The sequence below is a fragment of the Homo sapiens genome, chromosome 6, assembly GCF_000001405.40.
Source record: "Homo sapiens chromosome 6, GRCh38.p14 Primary Assembly".
Lineage (NCBI taxonomy): Eukaryota > Metazoa > Chordata > Mammalia > Primates > Hominidae > Homo > Homo sapiens.
This window is the reverse complement of record NC_000006.12, coordinates 76,865,027-76,887,036: the sequence shown is the minus strand read 5'-3', so window position 1 is coordinate 76,887,036 and position 22,010 is coordinate 76,865,027. Positions and strand designations below refer to the sequence as shown.

The window sequence follows — 22,010 nt, the reverse complement described above, 5'->3', positions numbered from 1 at the left end:
GGGTGGCAAAGCACCTAACACAAGATAACGTAAAGACACATGCACTTCTTCCTGGCCTAATAACATGAGATTCTGCCTCACCTTCTGCTTATGTGATCTTGCTAATATCTGGAAGTGGTCAGATATTCAATGGACCCATGGTGAAAGGAGAAGAATGGAAAGATGAACTAAATATAACAAAGTTGAATACATGAAGAAAATCTTAAAATGATATTTTAAAACCTACAACTAATCACATGTATTTTAAATATTTCTATTATTAGATTGTCAGTTATTTGAGCAATTTAAGGCTGGAGTGTTTCTTTGAGTCACTGCTAGTACCTGATTTAAGCTTTGTATTGACCAACACTTAATGATATTTCTTATGCTTAACTGCATTTTGACCTTCAAACATATCCATAGTCAGGCAAGCATAGACCCTCATGATTAGAATCGCATGTGCCTAGGCTCTCTTGAAACAAGCCTATCAATAATTCTACATATTAAAAAAATCCACATTGAAAAATAAGCAACTTATAATTGTACCGGTCAGTTAAACTACACACAGAGCATGAATAAAAAAATTGACAAATTATTCTCCCCTTTTTGGATATGGGCTGGCTTTATTATAGCATTATTAGTAAATTAGCTTAGAAATTAATTGAAAAAAATCCCATACGATCTTCAAGGGATTAAATGGGCATTTGCTGGTTAAAGTCAGGTTTCTTAAATACTTGGTGGTCTTAGTCTGGTCTCTGGATATAAGCATTGGTTTCAAATTGCCTCCAGAATCTTTCTGGCCAAAGAAAATACAACAATGCAAGAACAGTTTCCAACTTGGCAGAAAATACGTATTGAGAAACATTTAGATCCTTTGGGAAACATTAACTCATGAACATTATAAAAGCAGGTAATAATTCAAAATGCTATTTTCTAGGATCCTAAAATCTCCCACAGAGGCCCTATTTATTCAGATTTTCAAAATAGCTCAGCACAGAATAGAGCATGAAATGCATTTGGGCCACTGTGTACATAAAAACATCACAGTGAGTCAGCAGTCAGTCACAGTTCTCTGTCCCATGGGTCATGGATCTGTCTGTTCAAAACCCTGTGAGGAAAAATTCCTGTCAGGTTATATAGGGTGAAAATTCTCCTCTTACTTAAGCAGGAGAGGAGGGCAGCTCTCCACAGGACTCGTTTAGTTCTGCTACTCAGTTGTCACCCAGGGACAACAACGGCTCACGTTCTTGATGGTAACCAGAGACTGGTAGCACTCACCCATGCACCTCAAAGCAGAGCAGAACTGTGGCAGAACCATCCCTACTTCAACAACTCAGCCTGAGTGCAAAAGCAGCTTCCTCGGCCCAAGGAAAAGCCAATGCCAGACAGGATAGAACCATGCAAGACTAGGTCAAGGGCAAGAGAGACAAACATGTAAAGATGGAGAGAGACAGATACACCTATGTCAAACTGTGTAGCAACACTTTGGCCTGCCTCTCCTCCCTCCTTTAGTTGGGTCTATTTACTGGTTTAATTTGTCCATGCGGTTTTTAATTTCAATTACCATATACATCATTTCTAGTAGTGTTGTGTTGTTCCTTTCTCAAATCTGATTGGTCATTTTTGTTTCTTTCTGTGGTCCCTTGTTCTCTGGTAACATTTTCATTCTTTTTAGTTCTCTAAGAATATTTAGCATAATAATTTTATATTTCTTGTCTGGTAATTCTAATATCTGAAGTCTCTGTGGGTCTGTTTCAGCCCTGTGTTGTTTCTGCTGGATCTCACTCTTAGGAACTTGTTTTGTGATTTTCTTTTTTTTTTTTTTGAGGTGGAGTTTCGCTCTTTTTGCCCAGGCTGGAGTGCAATGGCATGATCTCAGCTCACCGCAACCTCCGCCTCCTGTCTCAAGCTCCCTAGTAGCTGGGATTACAGGTATGCACCACCACGCCTGGCTAATTTTACATTTTTAGTAGAGACGGGGTTTCTCCATGTTGGTCAGGCTGGTCTTGAACTCCTGACCTCAGGTGATCCACCCGTCTCGGCCTCCCAAAGTGCTGGGATTACAAGTGTGAGCCACGGCGCCCAGCCTGTTTTGTGATTTTTGACTATAAATGAAGCATTTTTCTTTCAACCTTGTTTATGAGAATTTGTTGAGATGTGAGTTGAAGTTGAATTCCTCAGAAAGACTCTGGGCTTTCTTCAGTCAGTCTCTGGAGCAACCTCTGATTCAGAACAATTTGCAATTAAATTATTAGCTTGAGGCTGATCAGTCTACTCTGGGTGTGTGAATTCAGAACACAGCTCTTGAAAGATATTCAGTGTTATTGATGCTCAATATAGATCTCCTCAGCACAACTCAAAGCCATATCAGGCTCTATTTCTCCACTTGGCAGGGGTTACATCATCTTACACTGAGGGTATAGCCTGCTAGCACCTATGCAGGAGTTTGTTTTTAGATCCCCAACCCCGAATCATGCCAGCATCCTAGTCTTTATTTATGTCTTTACTCCATGAAGCCATCAAAATGAAAGACTAATTTATCTTCCGAGGTTGTCAATCTGATATCTTTTTTCAATTTTGAGTTTTTCTTATTTTGTTGTGCCAGGTCAGCTCAATATTTTAATTGTTTCACACAAGAGGGTAACTGAATATATCTATTCCACCAAACTGCCAGAAATAGAAGTTATTGCTGTCTTAAAAATGATTTATGTTTTGACATATTTCTGCCATGGACTATGTTAATAATCAGTCTATTTCTAGGACCTTGTGCAGAGCCGACCCAGAGTGGAACTAAGTTAAGACTTAGATTAGCAAAACAAATGCATTTTCATGCCATCCTCCCCATGTGGACTCTGACCTCAGCCACATTGGCTTTGTTTGGTTCTTCATATTTATCATGTTCATCCCCACATCAAGACTATTGCTTCTTCACCTCTCACCTTCATTAATTCCAGCTCAAAGGTCTCTTCAAACAAGGTCGAGTCTGCCTAATTTACATTTATGTAGCACTCTTTAGATTCTCTTCCATGGCGTTATCACAATCACAATGAAATGAGGATTGTTTAATGCCAATCTCCCTAGCCAGAAAAGAAGCTCATGAGGAAAAAAAGTGTGTCTTGCTCATGGGAAGGTCTGCAGTGCCTGGCAGAGCGCCTGGCACATAATAGGTGTTTGTTAATTCTTTGTTGAATGAGTATGTAAATAAATAATTGAGAGGCATTATGTAGAAATAGTTGTTTTTTTTTAAAGTAGGAATTGCACAGAAATCTCTTTCTTACCTTTTACCTTAAATGTATAACAAATATGTGAATTTAGAAAGGTAGCCAGGAAGTCATTCCTTTCTTTAGGCCTTGGAAGTTGCATTATTTAAATCCTCAGTGGTTTAAAATCGAGAATAACATTTATTTTAACCTACTTATATGATTTAAACTTTTTATCCTCTCAAATTGACTTGAAATTAGACATTGCATGCTTAAAATATATAATTATTCATGATTCAACTTCAATATTTCCTATGGGGCATTTTAAAATAAAGATAATATAAAAGACAACTGCTGTCTGTATAAACCAGGGAACAATCCAAAATACTAGCATCAATAATCAAATGTATATTTTCCCCTTTACTGTGTTATATCATTTTGGGTATCAAATGAACCTTTATGACAGTCTTATTTGATAAATTTCCATTTTATTCTAACGTGAAATGAAACTGTAAGAATAGAAAACTCATAAAATAATGTTTTCGAGAAATATCATATTTATTCTAGATTCCTTTAGTAGCATTCTCTTTATGATATGACAAGAATGGGAAACTCATCTTAAAGATATAAGAAATAAATTTATGCTAGAACCCTAAGACAATGCTGAATATTTCATAATAATGTTAGTATATTCACTTCAATTGGAATATTCTGTAATTATACTTAATTCCATATATCTGCATGACAAAAGGCATTTTTCTTTCTTATATTTCCTATGAAGAACAAAAACAAAAACAAAGCAAATCCTCTACACTGAACATATATAGGTTTACGTTATAAAGATAATTAAAAAGAGAATTTCAATTAAGTCAGAAATGAATCGGCAAAATTGTTTTGCAACATTTCATATTCAGGAATTGTTAACATTTCTGTAAATAAAACTGAAAATGAACAAATAGCACCTCTTGTTTAAAAAAATCACTTTTTATACCCAGACGATTCAGAATGTGTGTGGTATGTAAATGATAGCAGCCAAAAAATCAATTCACAGGGTCAGCAAATTACTTTGTTTCACTAAGGGAAAGGTGGAAGAGGGAGGTTTTGTTTTTTTTTTTTTAAGGCAAGCAGGAGTGTTAGCTAAATCAAATAGGGGAGATTTAACCAGGAAAAATAAGTGAAATTAGAAATATTTGTGACCCACTTCACAATTTATAAACCACTTACAAAACATGTTATTATTTCACTCATACAACAATTACATTTGGTGACTCAAGGAAGGCACCAGATAACCTTTTAAAAATGAGGCGTCTCATAGAGCAACTCGCCCTTTTTTTTTTTGAGGATCAAACAGCCTATATACAGCAGAATCAAAACTGGAGGCCAGGTCTTCTTACTACAAGTTAGATGTTTTCCCCATTAATACTGGGTTACTGAATTCTAACCGAGAAAATGAACTGTTCCAGCAGAGTATGGGAAGATATGGTGCTGCGAGAGAAATGAAAAAATAGCATGGCACAACATGAAAGTATAGTGTTCATTAAACAGTGGGCCAGATTAATAGAAACATAGATGAGTGTAAAGGAGGTGATCTCTGCTTTTAATCTGTGTTGCACAGACCATAATAAGAATATTGTGTCAAGTTCTGAGACTTTGGCTTTAGAAAAATTATATCAAAAATTATTATTAGATAGCAGGCCCAGTGAAATCCAGCCCACACTGGATTTACTCAGCCAAAAGAGAATGAAAAAGTGGAAACATTAATAACTTTAGGCAATACAGGCATTCAATTTCCCATGAACTTGACCACTCTCTAGTGTCTCATTTACAACTATTGTACACATTTCTTATATTTCCCTACCCCTTGCAGGGATTTGATTTTCCAGACTATTTATATAAAGACTTTTTTTTCCAAAAAGAGTGGCTAAATGGTGAAAGGACAGATGGTGTCATTTGGGAAGTGGTTAAAGAACTGAGTATATCTAATCCAAAAAGGATAAGGCATGGCTATGCGATCAAATTAAATGAAATTTAAAGGCAGATTTCATTGTGTCACTTCTCTCTGCTTTTAACCATTTAAAGACTGCTCATGCCTATAGAGCAAAGTCAAGTTATTGCCTTCTCCTATAATCAGACCTTTCCCTAAACTTATTTTCTCTCAATGAGGAAAACTACAATTAACCACTTTAATCCAGATGTTCTCATGACTGCATGTTCTTGCTCAGAGTAGCTTATCTGACGTTAACATTTTTGTCCAAATAGATCATCTGCTTTCTGCAATTCCACTCAAGCATTCCTTCTTCTTAGAAGCCCTCTGACAAGTGACACTTGCTCAGGCCCAGGCTGTATTTTTATTGTGGGTCACTTTTCCCCCTCCTACCTTACCCCAAGATACCTTTCAGGAAAGGATTGTGTTTTCTTTATTTTTAAGCTCTTAGTCCTTACTGCAGTGTCTGGCGCATGGAAGGTCCTCAATTAATGCTTATCAAATGATACTAATATCTCCTTTTCAATATTTGAACACCTGGTGAATGGAAGAAAAATTAGGATTACCTTATGTAGCTGAGGACTAAACTAGGACTGGTGAGTGAAACTCACAGCAGTACAGATTTCTATGTAATGAGAGAAAATCTTTCCAAGAAATCAGAGCTCTCCCAAAGACGAAAAGTCCTCCCTCAGTTCAGGAGTGAGGAAGACAGCCAAGACATGTCAAGACAGCCTTTAGCATGGGCCAGGGACTGAGTATGGTACTTAAAAGTGAGTTGGTTCAGTGGGACTTTAAAATTCCCTTCAATTCTGAGCCCAGTAATTCTCCAAATGTGTGACTGCCCATGTGAAGAAGCTGCCGTGCACAGAAGTACCATGCTAAGTTTTGGGGGAAGTAGTCTCCTCCCTGAGGCTGGGAGTAGGAGGGTATTCTACTGCAATAAGTTGGATCTTAAGGCAAAAGAAAATCAGAAGGGTCAATCTGGTAATTAGTGTGGTTCTGATGACTCTTGCTGAGGTTTTCAGAATGTTTCTAAATCACTAGTTTTCACACGGAAACATGGCCAGCAATGTAACTTCCTCAGGTTCACAACCAGAAATAGAAACCACAGGCTTTCTCTTATTGAAGGATAGACATTATGCTCTTTAAAGGCTCCAGGAATCTGGGCACCTTGAATTAAAATTCATGAATAAAGACCAAAAATAAATATGTTCAGCAATCTGGAGAGAAAAAATTTTTAGAACACAAATACTTTGTTCCCCTTTTTGACTTGCCACAAACCACCCTCCACCTTCTATTCTCCTTTCTTTGTGCCTAAATACTTATCAAACTTGGGTCCTTTCTCTCTCTCAACTTCCATTTATCTATCTGCCTACCTATCTATTTACCCATCTGAATCCATTTAGGTTGTTGTTCTGTTTTTTAACGGTATCTTTCTTTCTTCTGCTTAAGTGTAGAAATATTCTCTGTATTCATTTCAAATTTCACTGAATTACAGAGACACGACGTTGCTTAAAACTGTTTCTTCAGGCTGGGCATGGTGGCTCACACCTGTAATCCCAGCACTTTGGGAGGCCGAGGCCGGCAGATCACTGGAGGTCAGGAGTTCGAGACCAGCCTGACCAACATGGAGAAAGCCCGTCTCTACTAAAAATACAAAATTAGCCAGGCGTGGTGGTGCATGCCTGTAATCCTAGCTACTCGGGAACCTCAGGCAGGAGAATCGCTTGAACCAGGGATGCAGGGGTTGCGGTGAGCCAAGATCATGCCATTGCACTCCAGCCTGGGCAACAAGAGTGAAACTCCATCTCAAAAAAAAAAAAAAAAAAAAAGGAAAGAAGAAAAGAAAAAACAAAACTGTTTCTTCTAATAATCCAGTCACAAAGATTCTACCTTCTACCTAGAGTTCGCCCAGATAGGAATGGAGATGTTTTAATTCTTGCTTCACACAGAACATTGAGTTTCTAAAAGTCCGCAAAAGTGTTACATAGCTACAATTTATGGAATCCGAAGTTTTAAAAGATGAATGAATACAGATGAAAGGTAGAGAGATAACCAAATTGTTATTAAAATCCACAAATGTTGACATATGGCACTTTATGAGGCAATTCTTTTCAGAAGAGGGCACATGGCCTGTTCTCTGAAGCAATCTCCAAGAAGGCAATACCATGGAGTATTTAATGTGCAGATGCTGGAGTCAGACCATTCAGGTCATATACATGATTCACCACAATACCAGCTGTGTTGTTGTCAAAAGCTTCTTCAATTTTGTACATTTGTTTTTATGTGTATAGTAATAACAGTACTTATATCATGTTTTTTTGTATGGATTAATGAAATTAATCCTTGCGAAATGCCTAGATATCCTGAGTGTTTAAAAAGTGCCTTTAAAAATCTTGTTTAAGTTTGTTATGAGGTCAAATGGCCCCCAAGATATTGAATTCACTGCAATCCAGATAATAGAATAAATCTCAAACCTTGCTGTATATTTAAGTGTAAACAATTGGTCACAAGACATGTGTGACATTGTAAATGAATCAGTATAAAATTATCCCTACTGCTATGGAGAAAGAAGTCAAATATGATTCAAAAGAGATATTCATTCATTCATTCATAACTCATACATATTTATTGATGTCCATCTAGGTACAGCATTTATAAGAACAGCTCTTTCCCAGAAGAACTGATGGGATGCAAAGTTAGCATTTCCTTTGTCAACTGCGAGACAAAATGAGCAAACAAACCCAGCTTATGCCTTTATTTTAAACGTATGTTTCCAGGTATGGTGCCCCAAAACAATTGCCCCTTGCATTACTCAATAGTTTTATTTCCTTCAATAAAAGCAATTAGATTTCATATCACATAAACCAAGTGTCTTCTGAATTGTCAAATCTTAAGTGATATAAGCATATGACACACAAAAAAAGTGCCTGGAGTATTTTTTTATTATCCATACATGGCTAAATAATTAATTGTGATTCTAATGTGATTACAGTGCCCAATGGGGCACTGGCTTTCTAAATGGTGTGCACACAGGATGGACAGTGATGGTCCTGCTAAGATTTCATAGCCCAAAACCACACAAGTCACACAACAGCAGGATCATCAGTAAATGTTACACATTAGATGCAATATCTCTCTCTCTCTCTCTCTCTCACACACACACACACACACACACACACACAAATAGAACAAATGAAAACTATTGGCTATAAGGAAACAGCACTTACTTATTAGATCATACATTTCTGAAGAATTACTAGATTTAGACTACAAATAGTCTATTGAAAAATTCCATTCATCTCAATGAACATTTCCATTGAAAGGAATTTGCTTTAGATGGTCAGTGTTAAGAAACTTTCATTTTATGACTACAGTGAGTAATTTCAGTTATTTCCAGTAATGCCAGTGATTATGTTTTCCTTGCATTTTCTTTAGGTTTAGGAAAAGTCTTCAAATCTAATTTTAATTTGATAAATTAAAATTTCTAGAAGTTTTTCACCCTCCAGATCAATTTTCATCAGACCTGCTCTTCATCCCTAATTCTGCCCCATTTCTTACAAATTTTCACTTCCCTTTGGCTTGGATGGTTGATAAATTATCCTAATAATGCTATCTGTGTTGAAGCTAATGACCTGTCTAAAGGAATTAGAGATTTATGTTACAAGTGAGAAATGTAACTACCAAAACAGAAGGTAAAAGAAGTCCAGTCTGGAATAACAGTTTTGGGGCTGTAAGAGTGATTTTTCTTTTAATTTGCTAGAATTTTATATCATCTGAGCAATAGTTATAGTATATATCAAACATGAGCTTCAGTATGTTGAATTAAACTCTTGGTAGAAATAGTACATAAAGAACACATCTTCAAGCAATGTCAAATGAAATATAGATTTCAAGTAATTTTATACAAAATATAAAATTATATGTTTTATACATAAGATATAGATACTTAAACATGACTCACAGTTTAAATGTACCAAATAATGCCTTTTTTTAAAGCTATTTTATCTGTTGCATAAAAAATTATTTCCTATTCTGAGGAGTTCCTTATGATTCTTTATATTGCCTGTTTCAAAACTGGACCACCTTATTCTGTGCCTTTGCTGAATCCTACTTAAATGGATCTTGGGCAAAGGCTCAAAAGGCAACTTGAGGCATCGACATGAAAAATAATATTCCTTTCTCATGATCCTCAATTTTTTTAAAAAAAGCAAATTAATTTTGGGACCCACAAACATAATTATCGAATTCTATGAAATTTTGGAAATTGATTTGTTTATTTTAGGGTGAGAAAATTTTAAGCTAAAAAAGAAAAGAACTGAAACACACACACACAAAAACACTACTCTAATGAATTTAACAGAAAAAAATCTATGTTGAAAGTTTATAGCTGCTGTTTAAAGGATTATATAGTTTAAAATATCATATGTTATAACCTAATTTATAATAGAAACTTGATAAATATGAAATGATAGCCTTCTGGTGGGTAAATGTAGGTCTCATTTTTAATGTGGTAGCCTAAACACCACCAGTCAAGGTCATAGATCTCGCAATTTATTTTGGTATGAAAAGAGTATATTTTTGACCTACATATTCAATAAATAGCCAGGTATTTCAGTTATAAGTGTATTGACTCTCAGATCCCAATTTACCTTTCAATATTTGTCCTGCAATAATAGAAGAAACTCAAACATCTCTTCTTTACAGTATGCGCGATGTTAAACTTTCTCAGTAGGGGTCGCTGGTGGGATATGGCAGGAAGAAGGGACACTCCTGCTCTTTTTGTCTACAGCTTCATGGGGGAGGAGCCAAGATGGCCAAATAGGAACAGCTCCGGTCTACAGCTCCCAGCGTGAGCTACGCAGAAGACGGGTGATTTCTGCATTTCCATCTGAGGTACCGGGTTCATCTCACTAGGGAGTGCCAGACAGTGGGCGCAGGCCAGTGGGTGCACGCACCGTGCGCAAGCCGAAGCAGGGCGAGGCATTGCCTCACCTGGGAAGCGCAAGGGGTCAGGGAGTTCCCTTTCCGAGTCAAAGAAAGGGGTGATGGACGCACCTGGAAAATCGGGTCACTCCCACCCGAATATTGCGCTTTTCAGACCGGCTTAAAAAACGGCGCACCACGAGACTATATCCCACACCTGGCTCGGAGGGTCCTACGCCCACGGAATCTCGCTGATTGCTAGCACAGCAGTCTGCGATCAAACTGCAAGGCGGCAGCGAGGCTGGGGGAGGGGCGCCCGCCATTGCCCAGGCTTGCTTAGGTAAACAAAGCAGCCAGCCGGGAAGCTCAAACTGGGTGGAGCCCACCACAGCTCAAGGAGGCCTGCCTGCCTCTGTAGGCTCCACCTCTGGGGGCAGGGCACAGACAAACAAAAAGACAGCAGTAACCTCTGCAGACTTAAATGTCCCTGTCTGACAGCTTTGAAGAGAGCAGTGGTTCTCCCAGCACGCAGCTGGAGATCTGAGAACGGGCAGATTGCCTCCTCAAGTGGGTCCCTGACCCCTGACCCCCGAGCAGCCTAACTGGGAGGCACCCCCCAGCAGGGGCAGACTGACACCTCACACGGCAGTGTATTCCAACAGACCTGCAGCTGAGGGTCCTGTCTGTTAGAAGGAAAACTAACAAACAGAAAGGACATCCACACCAGAAACCCATCTGTACATCACCATCATCAAAGACCAAAAGTAGATAAAACCACAAAGATGGGGAAAAAACAGAACAGAAAAACTGGAAACTCTAAAACGCAGAGCGCCTCTCCTCCTCCAAAGGAACGCAGTTCCTCACCAGCAACGGAACAAAGCTGGATGGAGAATGATTTTGATGAGCTGAGAGAGGAAGGCTTCAGATGATCAAATTACTCTGAGCTACGGGAGGACATTCAAACCAAAGGCAAAGAAGTTGAAAACTTTGAAAAAAATTTAGAAGAATGTATAACTAGAATAACCAATACAGAGAAGTGATTAAAGGAGCTGATGGAGCTGAAAACCAAGGCTCAAGAACTACGTGAAGAATGCAGAAGCCTCAGGAGCCGATGCGATCAACTGGAAAAAAGGGTATCAGTGATGGAAGATGAAATGAATGAAATGAAGCGAGAAGGGAAGTTTAGAGCTTCATGGGTTAGCCCTATGGGTGTAAGAACATTCAGTGGAGTTCTGCGCCAGAGCGACGTCCCGAAGTGCATGGTTCGTCAGTAACCTTGATATTTAACTTGGCAATAACCTTACAGCTGCCCTCTCATTCCAAAACCATCACCCAAAGGCTTCCTATCCAAACCATTAACAAACCTACTCCCCACTACACACTCAAGGACATCTCGCCCATGACGGCACCCATATTCCTAGGGCAATCCCACTCACAGTCGACCTTTCTTCCCTCCAGGAGGTGTCCAGTGAGACTTTGCTCCCTCTTAGAGCCTGCACATCTTGCCTGTGTTCTGGAAAGGCTCCAACCCCTCTCCTCCCTAGCTGCGCTTACTTTCTGCTCACCCAAAGACTGGAAACCAACTCCAGCCTGGCCAAACCGGCAAAACTGTTAGCTAGTGCTTGGAATTACACCTTCTCCAGCAAGTTCTGAATATCTTCGAAGTTTGTACTTCCTAGGGTACTCTCCCTTATCCCTAGGGTACCATATTGAGTTTTCTTATATCATATAGTTAATTTTTTATTATAGTTAAATAATTATTTATATTAACTTTTCCCTGTTTAATCTACTATGGAGATTCTACCTCCTGAAGGAACTCAGACTGATATATCAGAATACGTAGCTCTAAATCTGCATATATCCATATTAGGAATAAAAATAAAATTATATGTAAAATTTCAGGGCTCTCCATTTAGGCTTCATAAAGTCTCTTCTCACTTTTCAAGATCTTTATACTGAAAAAAATGAGTCAATTTTTCTTGCCATAAAAACACTGATTAATAATTTTACACTAATGAGATAAGAAGCAAGCACATTGCTAATAATTTTATTAGTATTTAATCTTATTTTATTAAAATAATAACCTCTGAAATTCTGCATATGGCCATAATATTAGATTTGGTATTAGATTCTTCTTCCATAAACAACTAGAATACTAAGCCAAATATATAAAAATATTTTTTTCAGGCTTTGGACAGCATGCAACACTGGAGTATCCTACCTGAGAGAAGTAAAACAATGTAAATCCTAAAATAAGACTGATTTTATCCTTTGAAGCACTTTTCAGGCCTCAACATAGAGAGAGGCAATCTAAGCAGAGAATGCTAGCCTCACTAATTTGAGAAAACAAAGATAAAGTGTTTGAAGGCTAAGATGATGTATGTAGCGCAACACCAGAAGGGAGGGATATATGCTGAGAAAAAGCTCTAGAAATCTGCCTAAGGGTTACAGTGCCACATATATATTGAATGAAAGTTTATAATGACAGGCAAGGTGTGACTGGGGACCTGTGAGCTAAATGGGCCCTACAGCTCATACAGGGCTGGTGGATATTTAATTTCTAGTGGACCAAGGTGGAAACATGTAGTTTAATGCTTGTAACACCTAATGATACCAGAGGTTCACACTCTGGTAAGTAGGGCTAACCTACTCAAAGGCAAAGGCTACCCTGGGCCTGCTCTATTAAATCTCACAAATGAGGCTTGATGCGATGAAGATAATCTACAAGTAGTTTAACACCTTCTTAAAATGAATTTCAACACTGTCTACACAGAGAAAACAGAACCAAGATACTCATCAATGTAATATTAACAATGTCCCATATCTAATAAAAAATTACTAGACATTCAAAGAAACAGTAAAGTATGATCATTAGTTACAAAATAATTAGTTAATAGAATAGATCCCAAATGGCAGAGATGTGAAAATACCAGATAAAAATTTTAAAACATCAATTATAAGTCTACTCAAAGATTTACTGTAAAATAAACATAATGAGTAAACAAATAATTCTTTAGAGAGATACTACTGAAGAAAATACCAGAAAAATTAAATATGAGTAGACACTATACAAAATAAGAAATGTTGAAAATTTGAAAACATTAATTTAAAAAGTAAATAATATATTACACAGTCTGTTTGAATTTGGGTAAAGAAAAAATGTTTGTATTTTGGTAGAAAAACAATTATGTTAAATATCAAGAAATAATTATTTCTAGTTTATTTGAATTTGTAAATTTTGGCTTTGGCACATTTCCTTTGCATCAAGCATTTAGCAATATAAAACTTAAAAAAAAGCATAAGCCTATGACATAAATATTCCTAAAATAAAACTAGCAATATAAAAAAATGAAGACTAAGAAAATAAGAGAAATTACACAAATAAAAACTTGACAAAAGGGAACAGATGAAAACAGGATAGAAATTTTTAAAATCATAAATTGAAAAATATTTGTGTAAACACATTTTAAAATTATATAAAGTGAAAAATGTATTAGAAAATGCAAATTTCTGAAATGGACTCCAGAAGTAATAGAAAAGCCGAATGAACCAATAAAATTCATCTAAGAAGTTGTGTTTCTTTGGGACTTATCTCTTTTCTTCTTTATTAATCTAGCTAGTAGTCTATTTTATTAATTTTTTCTAAAAACCAGCTCCTGAATCCATTGCTCTTTTGAATTTTTTGTGGGTCTTGATTTCCTCCAGTTCAGATCTGATTTGTGTTATTTATTGTCTTCTGCTAGCCTTGGAGTTGATTTGTTCTTGTTTCTCTAATTCTTTCCATTTTGAAGTTAGGTTTAATTTGAGCTGTTTCTAATTTTTTGATGTGGGCATTTAGTGCTATGAATTTCCTTCCTAACAATACCTGAGCTGTGTCCAAGAGATTCTGCACAGTAAAAGAAACTATCATCAGAGTGAACAGACAACCTACAGAATGGGAGAAAATTTTTGCAAACTATGCATCTGACAAAGATCTAATATCCAACATCTATAAGGAACTTAGAAAAATTTACAAAAGAAAAACTAACAACCCCATTGAAAGATGGGCAAAGAACATGAACAGACATTTTTCAAAAGAAAACATACATTCAGCCAATAAGCATATGAAAAAAGCTCAATATCACTGATCATTACAGAAATGCAAATCAAAACCATAATGAGATATCATCCCACACCAATCAGAATGGCTATTAAAACGTCAAAAAATAACAGATGCTCACAAGATTGCAGAGAAAAGGGAACACTCACACACTGTTGGTGGGAGTGTAAATTAGTTCAACCATTGAAAAGCAGTATGATGATTCCTCAAAGAGCTGAAAACGGAACTACCATTCTATCCAACAATCCCTTTATTGGGTATATACCCAGAGGAATATAAATCATTCTACCATAAAGATACATGTATGCAAATGTTCATTGCAGCACTTTTCACAATAGCAAAGACGTGGTGTCAACCTAAGTGTCCATCGATGACAGATGAGATAAAGAAAAGATACATATATACCATAGAATACTGTGCAGCCATAAAAAAAGAACCAGATCATGTCTTTTGTGGGAACATGGATGGAGCTGGAGGCTATTATGCTCAGCAAACTAATGCAAGAACAGAAAACCAAACACCACACATTCTCACTTACGAGTGGGAGCTAAATAATAAGAACTTATGAACACAAAGAAGGAAACAATGGACACTGGGTTCTACTTGAGGGTGGAGGGTGGAAGGGGGGAAAGGAGCAGAAAAGATAACTATTTGGTACTGGGCTTTATACCTGGGTGATAAAATAGGATGTACAACAACCCCCTCGTGACACATGTTTACCTATGTAGCACACTTCAGTTGTACCCCCAAACCTAAAACAAAAGTTAAAAAAAAATTGAATCTAATGTCAAGTATCTCTCTCTTCAAAAATACATCAATCTCAATTTATTTTTATGAGTTAATTTTATTTTTAAGATTGTAAATGCTATTTTTATTTTTAAATTCACTGTCCACATGTTCATTGCTAGAATATAGAAATACTATTAATTTTTGTATTTTTACCTTGTGTTCCTGAAGTCTTGCTGAACCTAGTTATTAGCTCTCGGAAATATTTTAAAGATTTCTTGGGATTTTCTACCTAAACAATCATGTCATCTGCAAGTAGAGATCATTTTTTCTTCATTTTAAATCTATTGATATATGCATTTTATTTTATTTTATTGCCTTATTTCCCATGCTTGAATTTCCAGTACTATGTTGAAAAAGGTAGTGAGAACAGATACTTTTCCTGGCTTCTCATCTTAGAAGTAAAGCATACATTCTTTCACCATTAAATATAATGTTAGCTGTAATATTTTTTACATATTTTTATCAAGTTGAAGAGGTTTTCTCTATTCTTATTTTTCTGAGAGTTTTGTTTCTATTTTGTTTCTAAAAAAGTATTGCATTAAGTGAAATGTATTGTTTCTGCATGAATTGATACAATAATGTGATTTTCAAAAAAATATTTAGCCTATTAATATGGTGGCTTATATTCATTGATTTTCAAATATTGAAGCATTTTTGCATCCCTAAAATAAGATCTACTTGATCTTGGTGTATAATTCTTTTTATTTATTGCTGAATTCTATTTCTTCTATTTTTGTTAGTTTTGAGTCTATATTTATGAAGGACATCGGTCTGCAATTTTCTTCTTCCGTACTGACTTTGCTTTGGAATCAGTGCATTAATAGCTTCATAAAATGAATTGGAAAATGCTCTCTCCTTTTCTTTTTTCTGAAAGAAATTGTACAGAAATTCTTCTTTAAGCTGTTGGTTGAATTTTCCAATGAAATAGCTTGGCTATATTTCCTTTGGGAGTGGTTTTAAATTATAAATGTAACATTTGTGGGTCTTTAATAGTTTTAGAACTATTCAAATTGCTATATTGGGAGAATTGTAGCTATTTGTGTTTTTAAGGAACTAATTGATGCTTATCTAAGTGTTCTAATTTTAGGTATAGAGTTTTTTTTTTTGGTAGTATCATTTCTTATCATATTGATGTCTGCAGGCTCTAGATATCCCGTTTCATTTCTAATATTGGCAATTTGTGTCTTATCTCTTATTTGTCAGTCTTTCTAGAAATTGTCAACCTTACTTTACTTTCAAATAACGAACTTCTTGTTTTATTGATTTTCTCTATTATTTATCTGTTTTCAATTTTATTGATTTCTGCTTTTATTTTTATTACCTTTCTTCTTTCTTTGCCTTTATTTTGATCTTTTTTTTTCTAAGTTTTTAATATGGAGTCTTAGATCCTTGATTTAAGTTTATTTTCTTTTTTCTAATCTGTGCATTTAATTCTATACATTTTCCTCTCAGCACTGCCATAACTTTGCCACACAAATTTGGTATATTGCATTAATAATTTCATTTTCAATGTATTTTAAAATTGATTTCCCTTGGGACTTCTTTGACATGTGGATTATTTGTAAGTATATTGTTTAGTTTCCAGTTTTTACATATTTTTCTGTATTTTTTTTTTGTTGTTGCTATTGATATCTAGTTTATTTTTATTTGAGTCGCAAATAAATGAAAAAAATACAATTCTAAATGATTTCAATTATTTTAAATTTTTTGAGCCTTTTTTTATACACCAGAATGTGGTGGTTTTTCTGACACATTGTGTGGACACTAGAAAGGCTCTATTCTGCTGTTGTTGGGTGAAGTGTTCTATAAATATCAATTAGATCCTGTTGGTTGATAGTGTTGTTGAGTTGTCTTATATCTATATCTTCTATATATATACCTTATATAATATGTCACACATATCTCATAGGTATCATAAATATACATGATATATGACATATTATATATTATATTTTTATGAGATATATGTCATATATGATACATATGATATATTATATGAAAAATACATATATATGAGAGATATATAAGACAAATATATCTACATCTGCTATAAGTATATTAGTAAGATTTACTGTCTACTAGTTCTATCAATTACAAAGTAAGGTATTGAAGTCTTGAAATGTAATTGTTGGTTTCCTCTACTTTTTCCTTCAGTTCATTCAGTTTTTCTTCACATATTTTGAAGCTCTGTTAATTGGTGCATTAACATTTTGAATTTCTATGGGAGGATCGACTCTTTTATCATTATATAACATCCTTCTCTGTCTTTTGTTATTTTCTTTGTTCTGAAGTCTAGTTAATCTGACATTGATATAGTCTCTTTCTTTTTGTTTAATGTTTGGGCAGTATATCTTTTTTCATTTTTTTGAGACAGGGTCTGGCTGTCTCACCCAGACTGGAGTACAGTGGTGTGATTTCGGCTCACTGCAACCTCCACCTCCCACGTTCAAGTGATTCTCATGCCTCAGCCTTCCAAGTAGCTGGGATTACAGGCATGTGCCACCAAGCTCAGCTAATTGTTGTATTTTTAGTAAAGACAGGTTTTCGCCGTGTTGGCCAGGCTGGTCTCGAACTCCTGACCTCAAGCAATCCTCCTGCCTTGGCCTCCCAAAATACTGAGATTACAGGCAAGAGCTACCGCACTGGGTCACAATATATTTTTTTTTATTCTTTTACTGTTGACTTATATATTTCACTATATTCAACAGAACTTCTAATAGTACATATTTAGATCATATTTTGTAATTAACTTCATATTTTAATTGGTGTTATTTAGACTATTCACATGTAATATACTTCTTGATATGTTATGGCTTAACCCCATCATTTTTTTTTTCTTTTGGATGTTTTCTGTTTGTTCTCACTGGTTTTTATTTCTCTGTTGTTGTTGTTTTTCCCTGCCTCCCCACTGATCCCTTGAACTTTTTTTTAGAATTGCATTTTGACTTATTTATAGTACACTTAAGCTATTTCTTTTTATGGCATTTTTGTCTTTTTTGGGTATTACATAACATTCTTGTTGACTGGTTTTATCATTTTGTCGGTTCAAATGAATTGTGAAAACCTTTTATAACCCTTGAACCTTTTATAAATCTCCATTTGCGTCTCTTTTCCCTCCGCCCTTTATAATGTAATTGGCTTAAATATTTTTCTACATACATTTAGAACCACATCATACCGTGTTATAGATTTTGTTTCAACTGCCAAACATAAGACTCAGAAAAAAGGGATAATGTATTTGTTCTTATTTTTTCTCCTTCCATTGGTTGCTTTTCTTTCTTAATGTTTCAAAATGTCTTCTATTATAATGTTATTTTCATTTTTAAAACTTCATTTAATCATTTCTTTATAGTAAGCCTGATTGATTACAAATTATCTAGCTTTTCTCATCTGAGAATGTCTTGATATCCCCTTTATTCCTAAATATAATTTTACTAGACATAAGATTCTGGGTTAGATGTTTACTTTCAGCACTTGCAAAATGTTGTGCCACTTCATTCTGGCCTCCAGGAGTCCTGATAGGAAATCTGATGCTATTGAAATTATTTTTTTATTATAGGTAAGATTGTGACTCTTTGGCTGCTCTTAAGATTTTTCTTTGTTATTTTCACAAGTTTGTCTGTGATGTGCATGGGTGTGAAATTCTTGCATTTGTATTATTTGAGGTTCACTTAGTCTCTTGAATCTCTGGGTTTATTTCTTTTGCTAAATTTGGGAACTTTAAAACCATTAATTATTTGAATGATTTTTCAGCCTTAACCTCCTTTTTCTTTCCTTTCATTTTAGTATTCCACTGACACAAATGTTAAATATTTGCTATATACCCATAGGTCCCTGAGACTTTGTTTTTTGTTCCACTCTACTTTCTGTGTTGTTCGAATTGGATAATTTGTATTATTTTGTTTTCAAGTTTACTGATTCTCTCCTTTGTTCCCTCCTTTCTGCTCTTGAGCCCATCCATTGACTTTATAAATTTAATTTATTGCATTTTTCAGTTGCAAAATTTCCCATTTAATTTGACTTTCTATCTTTTATATATTTGCTGTGACCTTCTATTTTTTCAGTTTTTTAAAATGTGTTAGTTGCTCACTAAAGCATTTTTATGATAGCTTCTTTAAAATACTTTTCAGGTAATTCTAATGTCTTTGTCATCTCAGTGTTAGCTTCAGTTGATTTTTTTTTTCTCATTCAGATTTAGGTTTTCCTCATTCTTAGTATAATAAAGGATTTTCAGTGGTAACCTCAACATTATTGGTAGCATATTGTGAAACTCTTGGTCAGTTTAAAACCTATTTTAACTGGCTTTTCTGATACCATTATGGCAGAGGATTGTCATTGCCCCTTGTTATTGCCACGTGAAGTTATAAGTCCAGATTCAACACTTGACCTCTGTTTACACCCAAGTTGGGGGCTTTAAATTGCTACCAGGAGAGAGAGAGAGACAGAGAGAGAGAGAGAGAGAGAGAGAGAGAGACTGGTGGGGAGTCTTTTAACTTCCTACTGGGCTTCCACAATGCCATCCTGGTTGGGATAGCTGAGGGTGTCTTGTTGCTCCTTCTCATAAGGCCTAAACTGACTCTGAGGAAGTGGAGTGAGTGGCAGTCTTATTATCGTTGAATAGTGAAGAGATACCTGATTCTCTATTCGACCACCTCTGACCTCATCCCAACAGTGTTTGTGTTGTGGGGCATTAGGGAAAGAGGCAGTTGTTGCTACCTTTTAGAGATGGAAATTCAAGAACTCCATGTGGTCTCCACTGACACCAAAGTGAGGAGGGTTTTCATCCTTGTGAGGATAAATCCAGGCCCTCTATTCAGGCTTCTCTGACCCCACCCCAATATTGTCGTTGGACAACCTTATTTTAATCTGATGCTGGTGGAAATGTGGCTATCCACTTAGCCTTTGCTAATGTGTTCGATAATGAGGCTACAGTTTTTCCTGTGATGTTTGGCTGGAATAGAGTGGCTGTTTTTACAAGTTTTGGTCCTCAGCTAGAGAGCAAAATATTGTTCAGGCTTTTTTTGTCTGTATCCATTGACCTATGTAGGTTGCTGGCTTTTCCAGCACCCAGTCTTGGATATATGGGGCAAACATAAAACTGAGAAAATTCACCATCATGTCGTTCTTTGAATCCAAAGATCCCTAGCTGATCAGCCTTCTCTCCAAATTTCAGAGGATTCTTAACATTTCTTTTATATATAACGTCCATAGTTTTTAGTTGTGTTTGGCTAGAAGAATAGGAAACATACATGTACTTCATCTTCACAGAAATAGAAATATGCCATGGAATCTTTTCAAATAAATAAACTGAACAGTGACCACAATGGCCAAGAATGTCAATTTGGGATCAGACTGTGTTTGACTTCCAGCTCCAAAACATTTTAGCTTTGTGATCATGTGAGAAATAATGAATCATTACAAGTATCAGCTTCTTCATCTCCAATAGAGATAAATACTAGCACCTCCACCACAGGATTATTATGAGCGGTAAATGAGAGTCTATATATGAAATACTTATTACAGTGCCTATCACTGGAAAAAATTTTAAATAATTATTTGTATTGTAGAAAGAGTTTGTAGCAGGCATGCAATCTATTCCTGTCCTTTACTGGTGAATGTCTCATAAAACAAATAAAAGAAAACGAGAAGAATCTCCTTGTAAGCAAGCCAACTGCAAATCTTTTGGCAAACACACTAATATCATAGTGACTAGGAGATTGTCCACATTTATGGAATGGTTTCGGCAGGATGTGCCAGGTCTGTGTAATATTAATTATAGGAAAAATCCTGGATTCTATTGACTTATGAAGTATGGCTCCCTGGAAAATGTCACATAAGCTTTGTAAATATTGGAGAACAAAATGGAGATGTTTTCGTGATTAAACCAGTTCCCTTTTGTGTAAGTGATGACCATATATAGCCTTTAAATGCCTCATATATTAAATCTACATTAGAGCACCTACTAGAACAGCAAGATAAAAGGGATCTGTGTTGACAATCCTGGACTTTTCATGCTTGGTCTGTGCTTCACAACCGCCTGAGTTTGACATTGGGTAAAACTTCTGATTTTATGTTCCTCTGACTTCACAATGCAACTCTTTGTATTATCTCTATAGTATATACAAAATTATCCGTAAATCCATATCATCACTCATAGAAAACTGTATGTAATGTTTCAGTCTTTTCTTTTTCTGTCTCTTTGAATAAACACCCCTAAAATTCAATCATACGATACATAGTAATGTTTACTTTTTTATTTTTTTCACTTTTTATCATGTTGCGAATATTTTCCACACCACGTGTCTTAAAACAATATTTTTATTGATTAAATAAATCTATCAAATCATTATTATATTTTATTTAATACTCATGTCTTAAAAACCAAGAAGGTTGGTACATTTTTGTAGTTAATGCAAATGTGTCTAGGTTTATTCTTGTATGTTTTTCTAATTACCTTTTTAGAATAAAATCGTAGGGTTTTATCTATTGGGCAATGTTTATGATCACTTTTAAGTCTTTTGATAGTTTGCCTAGTTTTCCTCCCAAAAACTATGATCAATTTATACTACAGTTCAAGTATGACAATTTGTCGCATCCCCACAATACTGGGTACAAATTTTTAAAATTTTGAAAATAATTTTTGAAAAATAATAAATAATACATCACTTTATTTTAATTAGCATTGTATTGTACCTGAGGTTGAAAATATACCCATTTATAGTTGTTATTTCCCTATGAAGTCCTATTTTTTATACAGTTTTGAATAAGGTATCCATACTTTTTGATGATTTGTTCTAGTATTTTTATGTATTAACAATATGAGTATATTGGTTCTATCTAATTGGTTGCAATTATTTTCTCCACTTCCTAATGATTTTTAAATCCATGTGTTAGCATTAAGAGGACTTGTCTTATTTTTATGAAAGTAGAAAATTTTCAAAATAAAATAAAAGGAAGGTGAAACTCACAATAATCTCACCCTAGAGAGACAAATGCCTTTAAGATTTTGAGTATTTCTTATAATTTTTATATA

The 22,010-nt window shown here is 35.3% G+C and overlaps 1 long non-coding RNA gene across 1 annotated transcript in view, besides 1 other annotated feature; it reads right to left on the bottom strand.

The window, feature by feature from the left end:
- LOC105377862 (uncharacterized) overlaps positions 1-22,010 on the bottom strand; it is a 322,839-nt gene that overhangs the window by 210,752 nt on the left and 90,077 nt on the right. The window lies entirely within an intron of this gene.
- Positions 10,270-10,842: an enhancer, noted in NCBI's record as "OCT4-NANOG-H3K27ac-H3K4me1 hESC enhancer chr6:77585912-77586484 (GRCh37/hg19 assembly coordinates)". NCBI's record gives its function as "activates a minimal SCP1, AML or CMV promoter by ChIP-STARR-seq in naive H9 embryonic stem cells {active_cell/tissue: H9 hESC(naive)}" and the evidence as "EXISTENCE:reporter gene assay evidence [ECO:0000049][PMID:30033119]".